General features: G+C 38.3%; 1 protein-coding gene across 1 annotated transcript in view; it reads right to left on the bottom strand.

The window, feature by feature from the left end:
• Nucleotides 1–20,321, bottom strand: part of IL1RAPL2 (interleukin 1 receptor accessory protein like 2) — a 1,201,631-nt gene that overhangs the window by 567,851 nt on the left and 613,459 nt on the right. The window contains exon 3 of the mRNA NM_017416.2: nt 4,231–4,504. Within this exon, the coding sequence (NP_059112.1) occupies nt 4,231–4,504 (274 nt within the window). The remainder of the gene's footprint in view (nt 1–4,230; nt 4,505–20,321) is intronic.

The raw sequence follows: 20,321 nt of genomic DNA, 5'->3' as shown, positions 1-20,321 counted from the left end.
GAAAAACAGGTTCATTATTCACAGACATATGCTAGCTATTTCACTTATATACCTGGAATAGATTTATGTATCTCTGAGTTGATAAAAGCCTGGTTGATTCTATTAGAACAGTGATTTCCAAACATTTTTTCCTTACTAAGGCACACATGAGAGGTAATATTCAACAGTTCCACCTATCTCTATCAGTCCCAATAGCTCCCTAAGGCTTGCTGCACAAAAGTTAAAAAGTCACAAGTTATGTTCCAATCTTAGTGGAATTCTTTTATCTTCTATTGGTCTAGATGTGAGTTGAGAACCTCTGACTCATATGGTATCCAAAATAGACATAAAAAAGGCCAATCTGAAATGTACTTGAAAGAGAGAGCCACCTATAGGAAAGGACTTCAGGGACCTTGGGAAGTTCCACTATCCCTAAAGTACTCCTTCACAATCTATGGCTTTGTTTAAAAGCAAATAGACTGTTAGCTGAGAAGACTTAGAAGCAACAACACCCCAATAGCAATGAGCATACCTAGCAACCAAATCTAGGTTTCTAATGCAATTATCCATTAAAAAAACAGGACTCCTTGGAAAAATGGCTAATTCTAGAACTGGGGCACAAAATATATAAGATAAACCTGGAGCATCTTTCTACAATGTAAGGAAATGCTAAAAAAAAAAAAAAATACAACCACCACTCCACAATGATAGAATTATATCAAAGGGACAAATGAGCCAACTGAAAGAGCTTCCCACGGGCAAAGGTGGAAGAATCTGAGCAAGAAAATTAAGTAGAATTGCATTACAAGCCGGTGTATAATATAAATAAAAATGAGTCCATACTGATACAAATAAATGATGGAACACATAAGTAAGTGGGGAAAGGGAGAGACAAATTTCCATGCAGAAGAATTTGAAATAATTTATGTAGATATTTCTTCTTAAGTGTGGACTGTGAATAACAACTTTCTTCCAAAGACTACAGTATGGAAAGGAAGAAAAAAAAAGTAACTTTACAATGAAAAATTATAAACATCACCTCAAGCCAGGTGATCAAAGTCAACATCAACAGTTATGAGTCATATTGATACTTTATACCCTTGATACAATGTGATGAGGATGGTATTCTACCTTTGTAATCTTCCTCCTCAAAACATATTACCCCAGTCTAACCATGAGAAAAATATCAGATAAATCTCAGTTGAGGACCATTCTACAAACTATCTGACCAGTACACCTCAAACTGTCAAGGTCATCAAAAATGAGGAAAGTCTGAGGAACTGATGCAGCCAAGAAGTGCTTAAGGAGACATGACAACCAAATACAATGCGCTACCAGAGATGGATACTGAAACAGAAAAGAGGCATTAAGGAAAAACTGAAGAAATGTGAAGAATATATGGACTTTAGCTAATAATAATGTACCACTATTGGTTCATTAATTGTAACAAATGTACTATAGTCATGTAAGATGTTAATAAAATGGGAAAGCTGGATATAAAGTGTACAGGAACTCTATATTATCTTTGCAATAACTACGTAAATCGAAGACTTCTTAAAGTTTATTGAAAAGCAAATAGTGGATTTTTATTACAGCGCCTTTTGTAGGGACAAAATACTGGAAACAAAGTGTATACTCATCAATAGGGAAATGATTGACTGACTTGTGTTATCATAAAATATTAAGCAACATACAATATTATATATTTAACCATTCAACCCAGCAATCTCATTATTGGGTATATACCCAAAGGAATGTAAATCATTATACCATAAAGACACATGCACATATGTATTTATCGTAGTGCTATTCACAATAGCAAAAACATGGAATTAACCTAAATGCCCATCAACGGTAGACTGGATAAAGAAAATGTGGTACATATATATACACCATGGAATACTATGCAGCTGTAAATAAGAATGTCCTTTGTACCAATGTGGATGGCCATTATCCTTAGTAAAATAAGGAACAGAAAACCAAATATTGCATATTCTCACTTACAAGTGGGAGCTAAACAATGAGAACACATAGGTACAAAGAAGGAAACAACAGAAACTGTGGCCTCCTTGAGGGTGGAGAGTGGGAGGAGGGAGAGAATCAAAAAACTACCTATCAGGTACTATGCTTATTACCTGGGTGACAAAATAATCTTTACACCAAACCCCCATGACATGCAGTTTACCTGTATAACAAACCTGCACATATACCCTTGAGCCTAAAATAAAAGTAAAAAAAAAAAGCTATCAGTTGACTTGGAGAGATTTATACCATGTATTTTTACTAAGCTAAGAAAATGCAGAGAAATCTATAACCCTCCTTTCATTTTATAAAACAATGAGGAGAAAATAGCCATGTCAGTATGTTTGTATAATTAAAACAGTAGGGGAAATGCATGTAGGGATCACTAAGTTGTTATTATTGCTAGGAGTAAAGGAATGGGGTTAGAGCGGAGAATGGAAAAGAGGGGAGGTAACAAGACTGAAGACATTAGCAGGCCTGGGGAAGTAGCAATAATTTGTTTAATAATTCATTGTAAGCTTAGCACTTGTACATAGTGGACTGATGCTTTGCAAATAAAACTTTAAATTTGTGAAAACAACAAACAAAAAGCAAATGGTGCAGGGGGAGGAGAAGAGAGATAATTTTGATTGGTGGGTTTTTAATGACAGTGTGGGATGGAGAGGAGATAAGCAAGGAAAGAGTAGCAGCACCCTAGGGAATATAGTGTCAGTCACTAAAGCTGAATTACATCTGCTTCTCAATTTTGCCAAGAGCTGCCCAAGTAGGAGAAAATACCGCTTAACACTAAGGGTGTGATCAGAATGACTGCTGTTCTCCCAAGATCCTGAAGATCTTGCCTACCACAAACAGAGACTAAACTCACCATTTGCTCCCCCATCACTCCATTTTCTTCCCCTACACATAAAAGTGATTCTTAGAGCATCCAGAAGGCTCTCTATTTATATACCACCTTGTTCTCCTGGGCTTTTGAACAATGAGACCTCGCCAGGGGCTTCCAAGTGCTTTTGATGAGGAAGTGACATAGCTTTGGCATCAAAGTTCACAGGACACAAAAATAGGAAAGGTCTGCATTTCCAAGGAGTTAAAATCAAATAGTAGAGTGCAGGTCCCTGGTGAGCAAGACCAAAGACTCCCAAAATTGCAGAATTGAAAGGTGGCCTAAAGGTCGTCTCAGCTACCTACTTCAATACCTAATCCAGTCTCTATTTGAGATGCTAGATGCTAGATCCTAGATTCTATCACTGGGGTAGAGGGGGAAGGGAGAACATACTGTAGAATCCCTAAGGGAAAAAACATATTGCTTTTTACTGTAAACTTCTTGCAAGCAAGAATTATGTCTGTGATATCTTTCCACTATAGTACCCAGAAACTCAGGATGACTGTGTATTTACAGAGCTCGATGTTGATTATTTAGACACAGTGGACTCAAATTTGCATTGCAAATTCTATGAAGGATTTCAGCAGTAGTACATTTGCTGAGAAATCTAGACGCATTTGAAACTATTTTTCATCAACAAGAAAGGCAAGACCATGGCCAAAATGATATTTTAGATCATTTTCGTGGCCAGATATCAAGATAATTGAGTCAACTAGCTGTATGCAAAACTAATTGTTAATATAAGACCATGCGGCAGGGGTGGAGTGAGGGAAGAAATGAGTCAGAAAATTTTCTTATTTTCTTTTTTTCTTTTTTGAGATGGAGTCTTGCTCTGTTGCCCAGGCTGGAGTGCAGTGGCGCGATCTCGGCTCACTGCAACCTCTGCCTCCCAGGTTCAAGCAATTCTCCTGTCTCAGCCTCCTGAGGAGCTAGGACTACAGGCACCTGCCACCATGCCTGGCTAATTTTTGTATTTTTAGTAGAGACAGGGTTTCACCATATTGGTCAGGCCGGTCTTGAACTCCTGACCTCAGGCGATCCACCCACCTCAGCCTCCCAAAGTGCTGGGATTACAGGTGTGAGCCACTGCGCCCGGCCCGAGTCACAAAATTTTCTAAATTAAATAAGCACACACAGTAAATGGGAATCCTATTTTATGAAAATCTAATAGGAATTTGCTATGTAGTTCTGATAGATAATTAGAACTGGAATTTACTGAAGCTCCACATGTACTGCAACCTTTCAAGAACATATCCATTATACAACATGAGGCATACCTACATGTACTCAAGTCCCACTCAAAAGACTATCAGCCATGTGATTGGGCAATGTTTTCACACAACACTCACCTTAAAACACAAGTGTAGAATCCACTGTCTTGTGCCTCAGCTGAGTGAAACCATATTGAATCTTCCTCTTTGCTCATCCTGACCTCTGAAAAGATGATGGGCTCTTCCAAATCACCTTTGTTTTTGTACCACATAAGCCTGAGCCCAGTGCTCTGGGCCGTGCTATAGTTGGTACGAATATAACTGTAGAAAAGGGCACATTTCACTCGGACTGGTTCACCTGCCAAAGCCATGTATGTCTTGAGATCCACTGACCAGTCAATGCAGCCATCCACTGAAAGAAAATCAGAAGAGGTATAAGATACAGTGAGCATTGTTGACACTAATAGTGTGAGCAGTAATCATCACCAACATGTCCTAAGTGCTCCACATAGATTACTTCATTCAATCTTCCCAGTAATCCTATGAGATAGACTTGTATCTTGCTTAGACCTTAGTAAGCACAGCCCCTGCTCCAGTCTTGTGCCTTTGGGGTATCTTCCAATATTCTACAGCCACCTTCTGCTTGGGGTGGACCAGATTCTTCAAGGAGCTCCAGAACTCATGCCTATAGGGTTGTCCTGTGGCACCATGGCCAGGTCCTAATTCCAGCAGAGTAGCCAGGCAAATTGTTTGCTTCTGCTATCCATCACATTAGCCTATGAAATTGGACTACTAGAATGATGCTGCTGACATACTGGTTTTAGGTGACTCGAATTGTTTATATAGACAGGAGCCCCACAAAACAAATATTTCCAAGAGACCTCTACACAGCCTAGAAGCGGTCCTGAGATGAAGGCTTTTCTTCTTATTTTACAAATGAAGACACTGAGACAAAAGAAGTTAAATGACTTTGCCCAAGGTCGCACAGCTAATAAGTGGTGGAAGACCAGTCTCTGATTCCAGATTGTGTTCTTAACCTCTACCCTATACTGCCTATGCCTATAATTGTGACAATAACAATTGTGCTATTATTTGCCTTTGAGAAAGTAAATGCTCTGGTTGGAAGTAGTAGGCACCTAAAGTGATTATTTGCTGTTATATACATGCCAGTTTTCTATGGTATGACCTATTAATAGCATATATTTAATCATAGGTCAATTTCTCTTTATACCCTTAGGCCTCCCTTTCTGCTTAGCTGCCGAGTGCTCATGGGAATATATTATATTACTGTCAGCTGTAATCAAATAATATTAGGTAGGCAAATCTACCATTAAAGAAAGACATGTACAGTAAATTCCTTATTTTCCAGAACGGTTAAAAATGAAATGCTGTGGCCAATCGCATATGCTGGTCAATATAATTAGCATAGCTATTTTATTTCTAATTTGCTTATTTTCAAAAAATGTCATCAAAATACGCTGTATCCTTTCACTTTTCTTGATTACCCTTTAAAAAACAATCATCTCAGAGAAATGTATAAACATTGCCATTTTAAAATTATATGTTTCACTTATGATTTTGTGAACTGATCTGCTTCCTTTTTTAGATGTTGAGAACTCTAACCCAGCGTGTTTAATCTTTTAACTTCAGTTGACAGGAAGCTCAGAGCTAAATGCAATGTTTAAGTGTAATAACTATCTTACCTCAGGATTTCACTTTCTCTATATGAGGGATTATTGAACTAGGGTTCAAGGACACCCAGGGGGAAGATGCTTGCATGGGCTTCAAGGTAGTTGGCAAAACAATGTGCCTATTTGCACAGGTATACTTTTCTGGGGAAATTTTCCATAGCCCTTTTTTTTCAGATTTTCAAAGGGTTTTATGGCCCAAGAAAGATTTTGAACTCTGGTTTCTGATCTCTCTCTCTGACTTTGGCTTTCACTGGCCTGCTGCACGTGGGCTGTTATTACACACTGCCTCAACTCCTCTTATAGTATGTGAAGTATTCATTAGAAATAAACAAACAAACAAATAAATAACTCCCTTTAAATTGATAGTGAAGGGCATCTAAACTTTCTTCGAGGATTCAGAGGTATGAGATTCATCACTATGGATTCTGATGATCACTGTACACTGTTAAAGCTAAGAAGGTACAGTGGTTTAGACTAAATATGTACTGATCACTGGTTGTCTCTCAGGAGTCTTTTAAATTCACTCCTTGCTATTGGATCATTTACTTGTCATTTGTCACTGCAAAACTTTCAAGAAGGAAAAGAAGGAAACTTGAATTTGCTGAACTTTCTGGATCATTATAAATTACTAGTGATACACCTCTGGATCAAATACAACTTTAATATTTATTGTTTTATCATCTTTAAATGGATTTTATATTATTCTTTTTATAAATTATCTGTGATACTGTTTGCATGCATTAAAACAACTGAGAGGTAATGATATAAGTATGTTAGAAAATAAATATTTTCTCACAGCTTGTTTTTCAAAAGTTGGTTAATAGAAACAAAATAAACCCCACGGGAATATTTTTTTAAACTATTATTTCAGTTTTTGTTTTCCCCTAATCCTAAAATGCACAGCAAATATTTTTGAATTAACAAATTTGGCTTTGCAAAATAGCATCAAACTCTATCATTACCTACTTGATAGAAAAAAAAATTGAAATGCTATTTCAATTTGCTTCCCAAATCTCTTTAGTTATCTCTTCTAAGTCTTCTAAGTGATCTATTGCATAATTCTACACTTTTACAATGTTAACAGTCTGCTTTGGCCTATTTGTGATGGGACATGGTAAGTACTGAAGGTAATCAATGTATCTGCTCCAGAGTCACAGCGAGCATGCTCAATGGCAGTGTAAGACATTTAATTGCCATTACAATTAGTTTTATCATGCAGACCTGGAGCGTACACTGATAATTCATTTCCCTTTAAGGGCCATGTGAGCAATATGTATTTGACTTAATAGATTTATGGTCTCTTTTCTTCTGTTCCCTTGCCTTAGGTATCAGAGTATTTAGTTATAAGGTAGTCAATAGCCAGAGAACAGCAATACAATAATGGAGAAAATAATTTCTAAACGTTATCCCCATTTATTCTTTTCCCTTAGTATTTGCAGTGTAAGGTTACAACATATTTCAAGAGATCTCAGGGAATTTTCCCATTAAAATGGACCAGAGGTATGATAACACGGATCTATGAATGCCTACGTGCCACCAAATATTTTCCCACACTACACTCTCATCAGTAGAAATCAATTTCCATGAGCTAAGGCATTGTAGCCTTAAACCTAAATTAGAGTATTAGACCCCTACTAGATTCCAACAAGTTGGTATGATTAATTTTTATTGGATTGCTATTCTTAATAAACCAAGAGTGGGACAAAAGGAGGTAGAAAAGGATGTAGCACATTTATTTTTAGATTTGGGACTAGGGAAGCAACTAAGAAGTATAGGCTGAGGTAAGAGGCCTGAAAAGTCAGGTGATCAGTCAACATGGAGGGATTGAACACTGACGTTAAGAGGGAAGAGCTTAGAGGTGTCAGAAAGTCACAAAAGGGCAAGAAGAGATGAAAGGTCACATATAACTGAATTTGCCAAGTGCCATTAAAAGTAATGCATGCAAGTCAGATTTCTGTCATCAGGAGTTTGCAATCACATGCCATACTTCCAGAGCCCCTTGCATGTAGACTCTCCATACATATTTGGCAAATACTGAATGAATACATCTGTGATGCAGCTGACAAAGGTGCAGGCTACTGATCAATTGGGGCCGCAGTGGAACTGAGTAGCCCATAGAGGGAGCCAACTGGTGCGCTTGATCTCATCTGCACAAGCCTGCAATCCACAGGAGGTATCCAGCCCTATACTGTTCACAATTCCAGTGGTACCTATTTAAGCAAGCTCCTTGCAGGGCTCCTGAGAAGACTGTTGACTAGATAGCTTGGCTTCTCCCACAGGTGATTTGATAACTGTATCTCCCTGACCAGCCACAAATGTGAATGGAGGCATTGAAGGAAGGGAATTTCACTACTTCCCCTGAATAGTGAAACTCTGCAGTTGGACTGAAGCTTGCTACGGAACGAACCCACTGAAAGTATAAGTGAATGTATGTCTGCCCTTTGTTTCACAATCAGTGAGTATGATTATAAATATTCTTGTCCCTGGATTTGAAAACACCTCCTATTCCTATATTATCCTTTCTCTGTTCACTCAAGTCTTATGAATAGCAATTTCAGTATTTAAAAGAACAATTGCAGGTTTTTAAGATTCTCATCACTACTCCCTTGACTTAGATTTCTATAAGGCTCAAAAAGTTATTACTCTTGGTTTAGTCTTGTGGGTACCAATGCTTTAATATCGGCCGGGTGCAGTGGCTCACAGCTGTAATCCCAGCATTCTGGGAGGCTGAGGTGGGCAGATCACCTGAGGTCATGAGTTCAAGACCAGCCTGGCCAATATGGTGAAATCCTGTCTCTACTAAAAATACAAAAATTAGCCAGGCATGTTGGCGCATGCCTGTAGTCCCAGCTACTTGGGAGGCCAAGACAGAGAATCACTTGAACCTGGGAGGCGGAGGTTGCAGCAAGCTGAGATCGTGCCATTGCACTCCAGCCTGGGCATCACAGTGAGACTCCGTCTCAAAACAAACAAACAAACAAACAAAATGCTTTAATATCTGAGTTCTCCAAAACAATTATAATGGAGTGAAGAAAGCCACTTGTATAAAACTCGTATCTCTATTTTAATCATTTTCATTCTGATCTGTACAACCAATGTATGTTTAGGGAGTTTGACATAAAGATTCCAAAGAAGGAGCATCTAAAGACTAGAAAGGAACATGCCAGCATCTATGCAATTTATTTTGCCAGGAGGAGATTCCTAGGAGTAAAAATTAGTGCAGTCCCCTGCAAAGTGCCCTGGGTGTCCCAAGCAAACTCATTTGGCCTCTTTATAGATAAGCCTCCTACTTCCTCTTCAGTACAACCAGGAAGGCAAATCCTGCCGCATCTATCTGTTGTAAAAACAAAACCCTGTGAAAAGTTTATACATACCTGTAAGAGGATAAGTTGTTATTATCAACAATTATAACATTATTTTAGAAAAAAAGAACATTGAGTGCAATAAAACTAGACTCTAATGACTATGTACAATTATTTATTGGGGGACAGGATATATAACTATGTATAGAATTGCTGATTCTGGATTTTTTTTTCCCCAAATTGGAAATCCCTTGTTAGGTATAATGGCTAATCAGCACTTGAGAAAATATGCAAGCATGTGTACCCTATACTAGCTTATTATGTGTTTGTGATTAACAAATTCATTTGTTAAACCAGGTGTTTCAACTATGTAAACTTAATCCCATTCATTTTTACTATCAGTTTTCCTGTGAGCTAAAAGGGCAATTGTTGGGGGGCAATTCATAAAATTACCACTAGAGGGCGAGCTGTCCAAGTTTTTGTTTTACATGTTTTCCCCACATAAGCTTTAAAACTAAGGATTTATCATTGACCAACTGCTGGTTGCTTGAGAAGAATCACAGCACACCTATGGGGATGCACCATTGTAGGTGACAGAAGCCAAAAGTTGAGAATACAGCTGCGATCTTGCTCAAACTGGGGAACCAGGCTACACCCCCATCCCCCCACCCAGTGAATGACCCAGCACAGAAAAGTGTAACAGCAGCAGCAGCTATGAGTTTCATTGAGCCCTTAGAATAGAACATCCAAGAACTGTGCTAGGTGTTTTGCACAAATTTTTCTCCTTTCATTCTCATGTCAACTTTGGGAGGGAGGGACTCTTGTTATTTCCACTTTACTGATAAGAAAAAAAGAAAGCTCAGAGAGTTTAAGTGACTTGCTCAAGGTCACTCAAGTTGTAGTGGCAGAATTCAGACTCTAACCCAAATAAGTTAGACACAGAACTTATAATCTTAGTCATTATGTGTTCTATATCCTGCCTCCTATACTCTTCTTCATCCCAGCCCATGAGCTAGTAAAAGATTAAAATTTGCTTGGTGCTATCCAAATTGTCATATGTATTCCACAGAGTTCATGCCTCTCCAGGAGTAGACATTTCCAGGTGAGGGACATCATATTCCCAAATAATAACCATTGTGGGAAGAATAGCCGTAAGGTAATGTATGCTAATTATTTATCTATGAATTATACACAGTGTTTACAGAGTAATTAATTATTAATAATTCATGTTCTTGACGTAACCTCCAAAGGTCAGATCTAGACCTTGGAAAACTTTATCTGACCCATAACAATTTATTTAAAATTAAGTATCTAGGAATGATTATCCCATCCTACCATTATATTTAAGAATATAGTTGTGTGTGAGCCTGTGCGGTGGCTCACACCTGTGATCTCAGCAATTTGGGAGGCAGAGACAGGCAGGTCACTTGAGGCCAGGAGTACGAGACGAGTCTGGCCAACACAGTGAAACTCCATCTCTACTAAGAATACAAAAATTAGCGGGGCATGCCTGTAATCCCAGCTACTCTGGAGGGTGAGGCACGAGTCGCTTGGGACCGGGAGGCAGAGGTTGCAGTGAGCAGAGATCGCACCACTGCACACCAGCAGAGGTCGTGCCACTGCACTCCAGCCTGGGCAACAGAGCAAGACTCTGTCTCAAAAATAAATAAATAAATAAAATTCAGTCAATTCCTCTTAAAAAAACAGAAATATAGTTGTGTTTATTTTAACATTTGTGTATATTTTACTTATTGAATACAATGTTGTGCTCTTTTTCCTAATATTTTAATGTGGGAGTTGAATGCCTTCTATTTCTGTCTCAGATATGCCCCCATCTAAGAAAAGTTTCTTCCTGTTTATACCCAGCACAGTGGACTCCGTCTGCCTCAAATGGGCACTCCACAGGCACAAGCAAGTCAAACTCTCTAAAATGTGAGTGGCCTGTGCCCCTGTTGCTACACCTGTGCCTCTTTTCTCCTAGCCTAGAAGTACAGACAGAGCTTTTGTCATTTTTTTTAAAATAAAGTTCTGTCAGTGGAAAAAAATACTGATTTTTAAAATTTCATCTGTGCATCATTGTCCATCAATAGAAAGATTTCCCACTCCAGCTCTATATATACAATGAATGATTATTGCCTCAAGTTTTTAAAAATACCTTTCCAGAAATTTCTGTTCAGTTTACATATTTTATGAATTGGATTATATGCTTCCCTTTCACACTTTTACCCCCTACTATTCATCAATGGGAAAGATCTGCCTAAATGAAGTCCTTCATCTCATTGCAACCTAGTTATTACACTTAATAATGGGCTGACAACCATTTTCATTTCCCTCTCATTATAGAATCTGTGCAATGCTTTGTCAAGATCACTCTTTTCATCTTTATCCCATGAATGAGCCTCCAATGCATTCTGAAAGTGAAGCCATGGTGAGGCATTACAACCAGCTCCTCAACTTCTGATTTCCTGAGGCCTGATGAGTCTCCTTGGGAATTAGACACTAGCCAAGACAATCAGATGCACTGATGTTAATGCTAATGTGCCTGTGGGAGACAGGGTAGTAGCACTGCCCACCAAACCCTGTAACAGGGTTTCTACTGTCCCTTCAAATCCAGGATGCTCAGCAGTGAGCTTCTCTCCCCTACCAAATCTGCCCCACCTCTCATGTCCACAGTCATCCAAGCCAAAAAGTGTGGAGTCATCCCTGAATCTTGACTTTCTCTTCTCACTGACCACCTCCTACCCTTTCCATAAAACATTAAGCCTTGCCATTTCTGAAGTTACTCAAATCTGTTCCCTTCCTTTCTATTCTTAAAGACACTGAAGACTATCTAAGTGCTTCTCATGTCTTGCTTGGATTATTTCAATATTCTTTTTTTGTCTTTATTAAGTTCTAATTAACAAATAAAATTGTATATATATATGATATATGACATGATGTTTCTATGTGTATACATTGTAAAATGATTAAATCAAGCTAATTAACATAACCTTCACCTCACATGAATTATTTTTTTGTAGTGATAACATTTAAGATCGCCTTTCTTCACAATTTTCAGGTATATATTAACTATAGCTCCTATGCTGTGCAATAGATATCCTGAAATTATTCCTACTGTTCGACTGAAACTTTGTACCCTTTAACCAATATTATCCCATTCCTCACTTTCCACCCCTGTAACCACCATTCTAGTCTCTGCTTCTGTAAGTTCAACATTTTTAGATCCCACATATAAGTAAGATCATGCGGTATTTGTCTTTCTGTTCTTGGCTTATTTCACTTAACATAATATCCTCCAGGTTCATCCATGTTGAAGCAAATAACAAGATTTTCTACTTTTTAAAGGCTGAATAGTATTCCATTGTGTGTGTGTATACAAATATCCATTCCCACCAATAGTGTGCAAGAGTTCCCTTTCCTCCACAACCTTGCCAACACAATCTGTTTTTTTTTAATAGAAGAATAATTAGATGTATTGAAGTAAGCCAACATGGTGGAATATATTATAAGGCCATTTAAATATTTTTTTAATGATGGGATAATGCTCAAAGGATAATGTCAAATCAAATAAAAAACAGAATGCAAAATTTTGTACAATAAAATCTCTATTGTTTAAATAAAATAGGCCTTAAAAGGCTGGAAGGAAAATAATCAAACAGTTATAATGCTCACATTAGGGTTAAGAGTTTATGGTAATTTTTTTTCTATGTATCAGTGCTTTACAAGTTTTTTATGTGCATTTCTTAAAAGTCATTTTAGGGTAAGCGTAGGCTCCTGGATATTGATTAAGCTGAGTCTAAAGAACCAGATAGAGTTCAGCCAGATGAAGAGGACTGTGGTAGCAGAGGTACAAAGGTGAGGAATAGAGTGTGTACTCAAAACTGTAAGCAGTTAAGGGTTGGTGAAGTATAGCATGATGGCAGACAGTCATCAGAGAGGAAGCTGAATAGGGAGGCATGTTCACACTGTGGGGGTTTGCTACATTAAAATTATATACTATGGCCAACACAATCTTTTATCATTTTGGTAATAGCCATTTTAATAGGTGTAAGGTGATGTCTCATTTTGGTTTTAATTTGGATTTCTCTGGTAATTAGTTATGGTGACATTATTTCATATATCTGTTGGTCATTTGTGTGTGTTTTTCAGAAATGTTTGTTCAGTTATTGCTCATTTTTTAATTGGGTTAGCTAGCATCTAACAAACAGGAATAACAAAATAATTTCTCTGCTACAACTGTACTCCAGAACTCGTGATTCCATGCTGAATAGTCAAAATCACAAAGTCTACCACCCACACCCTTTCAAATCAGCCCTACCCTATCGAAGTGTCTGTCTACCACTCTCCAAGAGAAACTTCCTGCTCTAGACAGGCTGACTTCCCTCCCTGTCTCACCTTATCCAACCTTGTCAGAAAGCAGTTATGCTGTGGGCCTTTGCTCAGCCAGCTCTTTCCTGTCTTCATCCTCATACCATTTTTCCCACCTTCCATGCATATCCCAACCAAATCCTAGTCATGCTCTGAGCTTAAGTAGGTGTCAAATGGCATCTTGGTTTTCCTACCTTATTGATTTGCACTTTAGTCAAGGTCAGAGACTCATGTTTTTCTTTCTTTCTTTTTACTCTTCATCTCCCCTCAGTACCTCCTAGATCAGAAACTTAGGAGGTCTTACTGAATTCAGGTTTATAGTCAGCCCTCAGTATCCACAGGGGATTGGTTTCAGGACCCTCTCCCCTACATTAAGATAATAAAATCTTTGAATGCTCAAGACCTTGATATAAAATGGTGTAGTATTTGAAATATGACCTACACGCATCGTTTCACATACTCTAAATTATCTCTAGAGTATTTATAATACCTAATACAATGTAAATAGTTGTTATATTCTATTTTTGTTTGGGTTATTTTTATTGTTATATTGTTTTTAATATTTTTGATCCATGCTTAGTTGAATCCATGGATGTGGAACCTGTGGATATACAGTGCTGAATCCATAAATTCTCATCCTGCGATAACTCACATAATTAAGGGCTAGTGGAGTGAACTGCTTTGGTTAACTAATTTTCACATTAGCTGGAAATTAACCTTTGGATTTTCAGAAATCTTTTCTAAAACATCTGAATCCACTTTTCTGTCCCAATAAGTAGAGAATTGTGAAGCGAATAAAATCCTTGTGGCTTGACTGAAGATATGTCAGGCTTTTGAGGTCATCATCCTGGACCCAAATGCCAAGGTACTGAAAATAGTAGAGAGCTGGCTGGAGATCAGAAAATCTGAGTTATCTTTCCACCTCTGCCTCATTAACAAGATACCCAATTTAAGGAAAGCCAGTTTCTACTCCTTAAAGAAATGAAGGTGCTAAACCAGACAAGTTCTAACCCAGTACCGGTAAAATGGATTATCTGAGTTGGTGAGTTTCAAGGTTGGGAAGATAAGCTGCATATGTGATCACTTGGAAAGTCTCCTGGTGATTTTCTTTATTATTTTTTAAAATTTCAATGTTAACAGAGAACTAAAATGAATAATATTAAAAATTCTCAGGATTTCATCATTCAAAATTAATAATGCTAACTTTTTTCCAATTCACTTTCAATAGCTTTGTTTTATTAAAGAAATAAAACATTGCAGATATAGCTAATGTCTCCTTTATTCAGCACACACAGTCCTATCCTCATTCCTCATATCAAACCCCTGCCTTGAGATAACCACTATTTATTTCAAGTTTAGGCTCTTATATACATAGATAAGTATCTTGAAAAAAAGATATTAGTGACTAAAAGCTTGTCTTACAAGGGAGAGGGTGTAGGTGGGAATAAATGTCAGTTAACTGAAGGTTCTTCTGAGATGTGTTCCAGTCAACTGACGTCTAAGAGAGTGTACGTAAAGGTGATCACACACCTGAAAGTACTTAGAACAGGGACTGACACACAGATAATGCTCAGTAAGGCTTTCCTATTCCTACTGCTACCACTACTACTGCTTATGTTAATTATATACTTATTTTGTTAATTATTCTACTGTACCTCTCAAGCCTTTACATATAATACATATTAGTTCAAACTAAATTACTTATATTTCATCTTTATATTAAATTCATTACATTTTTTTTCAAATTTAGGTCATAGGTGAGTCATATTACCTATAAATTTCACTTCATGACAGTAAAAGGGCATTATGAAATATTCTAACCTATATTTTCAAACATATTCATTTTACATAATACTACGAAATAATACATGTATAGTATACAGTAATAATACTATATACCATTATCATATGTATACTTGGTATATGCTATATTATAATAACTTATATTCCAATATTTTACAGATTGTACAACATATTCATATTTTATAAATTATATTATTTAAATGTATTCAATTGCATATTATATTCATAATTTATAAATGTGTATGTATTTATATCATGTGCTCTTCAAATATTTTATGTTGTTATATAATGTATATAATACATATTGTTATAATTAAATATATATAATTACATTTATATGTCAACTGCAATAGTTTAATTATATGAAATTTTTTTTAAGTTAAAAAGGCAAATATTCAGGAAGGATTCAAGATGGCTTACTAGAGGTATCAAACACTCACCTCCTCCACAAAGAAGAACCAAAATAGTACATAATTACACTTCAAAGAGAACACCTAAGAGAGAATGCTGAATTTCAACAAAGAAGTGACAGGAAACACCTAAGAAAAGGATGGAAAGGAAAGTGAGGCCGCTTGCTTGGCTAGGATAGGCTGGAAGCCTGGAGAGACTCTCCAATGTGGGGGAAGGGTAAGTGAGTGACCCCAGCAGTCCACATTCCCACCATGATCTCCTGCAACCCTAGCCATAGGAGAGACCCTGAATCTTCCTGGAACCTGGCACTAATGTAAGGAGCTTCCAGGAGACCATGTGACAGCTTGCTCCACAGAGGGTGCTAGCTAATCCTGGATCCCAGACATCCCCTGAGACCTAAGAAACTGTGCCATGGTGCCATGTTGAGAGCCAGCCCTCAAGAGACTGGATTCTGTGCTGACATTAGTCCCTGCATCTCCAAACCCCTGGAGCCCCAGTTACATCCAGCTGCATTCACCTGGAGAGCTTCAGTGGTGCAATGCCAGCTGGGCCTGGCAGTGTGGCAGGGTTCCCAACATTCTAGCCCCTACAGATTCCTATACTCCAGGAAACAGAGCAGTGTAACATGTCAGGGAGACTGCCCCTGGGACAAAGAGAGCCAAAGCACATGCTCCCTAAAACCTGAGAGCTGCCTATCTGAAGCTGTTGACAGAAACCCTGCCCACACCAGCAGCAGGGCCATTGCACACTAGCATGTGACTTGATGACAAGTTCTCCCCACACACTGCTGCCACCACACCTGTGACTCCTGCCACAACTAGACGTTGAAGCATGTGCTCCCCAGGGCCTGAAAGCCACCCACTTGCCTGGGGATGCTGCCATTGACAGCAACCTCTATCCCCAAAGTAGCATGGCTGCTGTGCACTAACACACCATGAGGACAGGCTTTCCCTGCATACAACTGCTGCTGCTGCTGCCACCAGAGGCCACAACAAATATTCTCCAAAGCCTGAAAGCTGCCCACTGGCTTGGAGTTGCTCCAAGTAACACCAACCATTGCCCCCCCGCCTACTCCCCACCGCCCATCCTACAGCAACAGAACCACTGTGTGCTTCATGCACTCTGACATTAGGCTCTCTGCACCCACCACAGTGGGTCATCCTGCCCTGCCTATCACAATCTGTGCCCATGTGCACCACTGGGGGACCTAGAGATAGGCCCACCCAGTCTGAAACACCACCCTCCACTCGCCACAGTGCCGAGGATGCCATGCAGGCACCTAGGGACCACCATGCCCAGTCCACCCTTGCTGGCATCTATGCATTCCTACCAGAGACCCGAGGATGAGCCCACCCAGCCTGCCACTATCCCCACTACCTGCACCCACCTGCATGCACCCAGCTGGGGGCTGCAGACTGTCCTCCCATCCTTGCTAACAATAGTGAGTGCTGCCAGGGAGTCCAAGTGTTGTCCCATCACCACTACTATTATTGCTGATGCCACACATGCTGGCCAGGAGTCCAAGATCCTATCCATCTGTCTGTCCCACTGCTGCCACTATAGAAAACCAACAAACAGCAATGATAAACAGTAAGAGAGAAACAAAAGACCAAGACACATACAAAACAACCAGAAAACAATTAATAAAATGACAGGAATACTCACTTATCAATAATAACCTTGATTATAAACAAATTAAAATTTCCACTTAAAAGATAAAGACTGGTTGAATGTATAAAAAAAATACATGACCCAACTACGTGCTGCCTACAAGAAACTCGCTTCACATATAAAGACATAGACAAAGTAAAAGGATGGAAAAGGTATTCCATGCAAACAGAAACCAAAAGTGAGCAGGAATAGCTGCATTTTCATCATATAAAACAGATTTTAAGTCAAAAACAATAAAAAGAGATAAAGAAGGTCATTATAAAATGATAAAGGGATCAATTCAGTAAAAGGATATAATAATTCTGAATACATATACACCCAACACCAGAGCACCCAGATATACAAAGAAAATATTATTAGATCTAAAGGAAGAGATAGACTCCTATATAAGAATGAGGGGGATTTCAACACCCCAATCTCAGCATTAGACAGATCATCTAGACCAAAATATCAACAAAGAAATATTGGATTGAAATAGGACCTTAAACAAATGGATCTAACAAACATTTACAGATGACTTTATCTAACACCTGCAGAATATACATTCTTTTTTTCTTTTTTCTTTTTTTTTTTTTTGACAGAGTCTCACTCTGTCGCCCAGGCTGGAGTGCAGTGGCGCAATCTTGGCTCACTTCAAGCTCCACCTCCCGGGTTCACGCCATTCTCCTGCCTCAGCCTCCCGAGTAGCTGGGACTACAGGCGCCCGCTACCACACCCAGCTAATTTTTTTTTCTATTTTTAGTAGAGACGGGGTTTCACCTTGTTAGCCAGAATGGTCTCCATCTCCTGACCTCGTGATCCACCTGCCTCGGCCTCCCAAAGTGCTGGGATTACAGGCGTGAGCCACTGCGCCCAGCCAGAACATACATTCTTATCATCACATTGAAAATTCTCCAGGATAGATGGTATGTTAGGCCACAAAACAAAGGCTCAACATATTTTTTTAAAAGTTAAAACCACCTCAAATATCTTCTCAGACCACAATAGAATAAAACAAAAAATAAACAAGAGGAACTTTGGAAGTTGTACAAATGCATGAAGTTGTTCAAATGCTCCTGAACAACCACTGTGTTAGTGAAGAAATTAAGAAGGAAATAAAAAATTTCTTGAAACAAATAAAAATGAAAAGACAACATACCAAAACCTACGGGATACAGCAAAAGAAGTACTAAGAAGTTTATAGTAGTAAACACCTACATCAAAAAAGTAGAAAGATGCCAAATGAACAACCTAACAATACACCTCAAGGAACTAAAAAGCAAGAACAAGCCAAGCCCCAAATTAGCAGAAGGAAAGAAATAAAAAGATCAGAACAGAACTAAGTGAAATAGAAACTAAGAAATAATACAAAGGATCAACAAAATGAAAAGTTGGATTTTTGAAAAGATAAACAAAATTGATAAACCACTAGCTATACTAACCAAGAAGAGAGAAAACTCAAAATCAGAAATAAAGTGAGGGACATTACAACTGATACCACAGAAACACAAAAGATCATCAGAGACTATTATGAATAACTGTATGCTCACAAACTGTAAAACCTAGAGGAAATACATAAAGTCCTGGAAACATACAAGCTACCAAGACTAAATCAGGAAGAAATAGAAAACCTGAATAGAACAATAATGAGTAGCACAATTGCATCATTAATAAAAAGTTTCCCAAAAAAGAAAACCCCAGGAACAGATAGATTTGCAGCTGAATTGTATCAAACATAAAAAGAAGAACTAATACCAATCCTCCTGAAACTATTCCAAGAAAACCAAAGAGGATGGAATTCTCCCTAACTCATTCTATGAGGCCAGCATCACACTGATAGCAAAACCAGACAAGGACACAACAAAACTACAAGCCAATATATCTGATGAACATAGACATAAAAATCCTCAACAAACTACTAGACAATGAAATCCAACAGCACATCAAAAAGATAATACACTGAGATCAAGTGGGATTTATATCAGGGATGCAAGGATGGTTCAACATATGCAGATCAATAAACATGATACGACACATCAACAGACTGAAGGACAAAAGCCATATGATTGTCTCAATAAATGCAGAAAAAAGCATTTGATAAAACTCAACATCTCTTTATGATGAAAAACAGTCAACAAACTAGGCAAAGAAGGAACACATCTCAAATTAATAAAGGTAAAGGCCATATATGACAAAACCACAGTTGACAACATACTGAATGGGGAAAAGTTGAAAGCCTTTCCTCTAAAATCTGGAACAAGACAAGGATACCCACTTTTTTCTTTTTTTCTTTTCTTTTTTTTTTGTTTTTGTTTTTGTTTTTTGAGATGGAGTTTCACTCTTGCAGCCCAAGCTGGAGTGCAATGGTGCAGTCTCAGCTCACTGCAACCTCCACCTCCTGGGTTGAAGTGATTTTCCTGCCTCAGCCTCCCAAGTAGCTGGGATTACAGTTGCCTGCCACCACACCTGGCTAATTTTTGTGTTTTTAGTAGAGATGGGGTTTCACCATGTTGGCCACACTAGTCTCGAACTCCTGACCTCAGGTGACCTGCCAGTCTCAGCCTCCCAAAGTACTGGGATTACAGGTGTAAGCCACTGTGCCCAGCTAGGATGCCCACTTTCACCACTTCTGTTAAACATAGTACTGGACGTCCTAGCCAGAGCAATCAGGCAAGAGAAGAAAAAAAAAAGACATCCAAATTGGAAATGAGGAAGTAAAACTGTCCCTTTTTGCTGATGATAAAATCTAATATCTAAAAAAACCTAAAGACTCCACTAAAACTCTTTGATTTGATCAATTAATCCAGTAAAGTTACAGGTTACGCAATCGGTGTGCAAAATTTAGCATTTTTATACATCAATAATGACCTAGGCAAAAAAAAAAATCAAGAAAGCAATCCCACTCACTATATTTACAAAAAAAAAAAAATACCTAGGAATAAATTTAAACAAGGAGGTAAAAGATCTCTACAAGGAAAACTGTAAAACACTGTTGAAAGAAATT

Source organism: Homo sapiens, chromosome X, assembly GCF_000001405.40.
Source record: "Homo sapiens chromosome X, GRCh38.p14 Primary Assembly".
NCBI lineage: Eukaryota > Metazoa > Chordata > Mammalia > Primates > Hominidae > Homo > Homo sapiens.
Note: the sequence above shows the minus strand (reverse complement) of the source record. Positions and strands in the feature narration are given on the sequence as shown.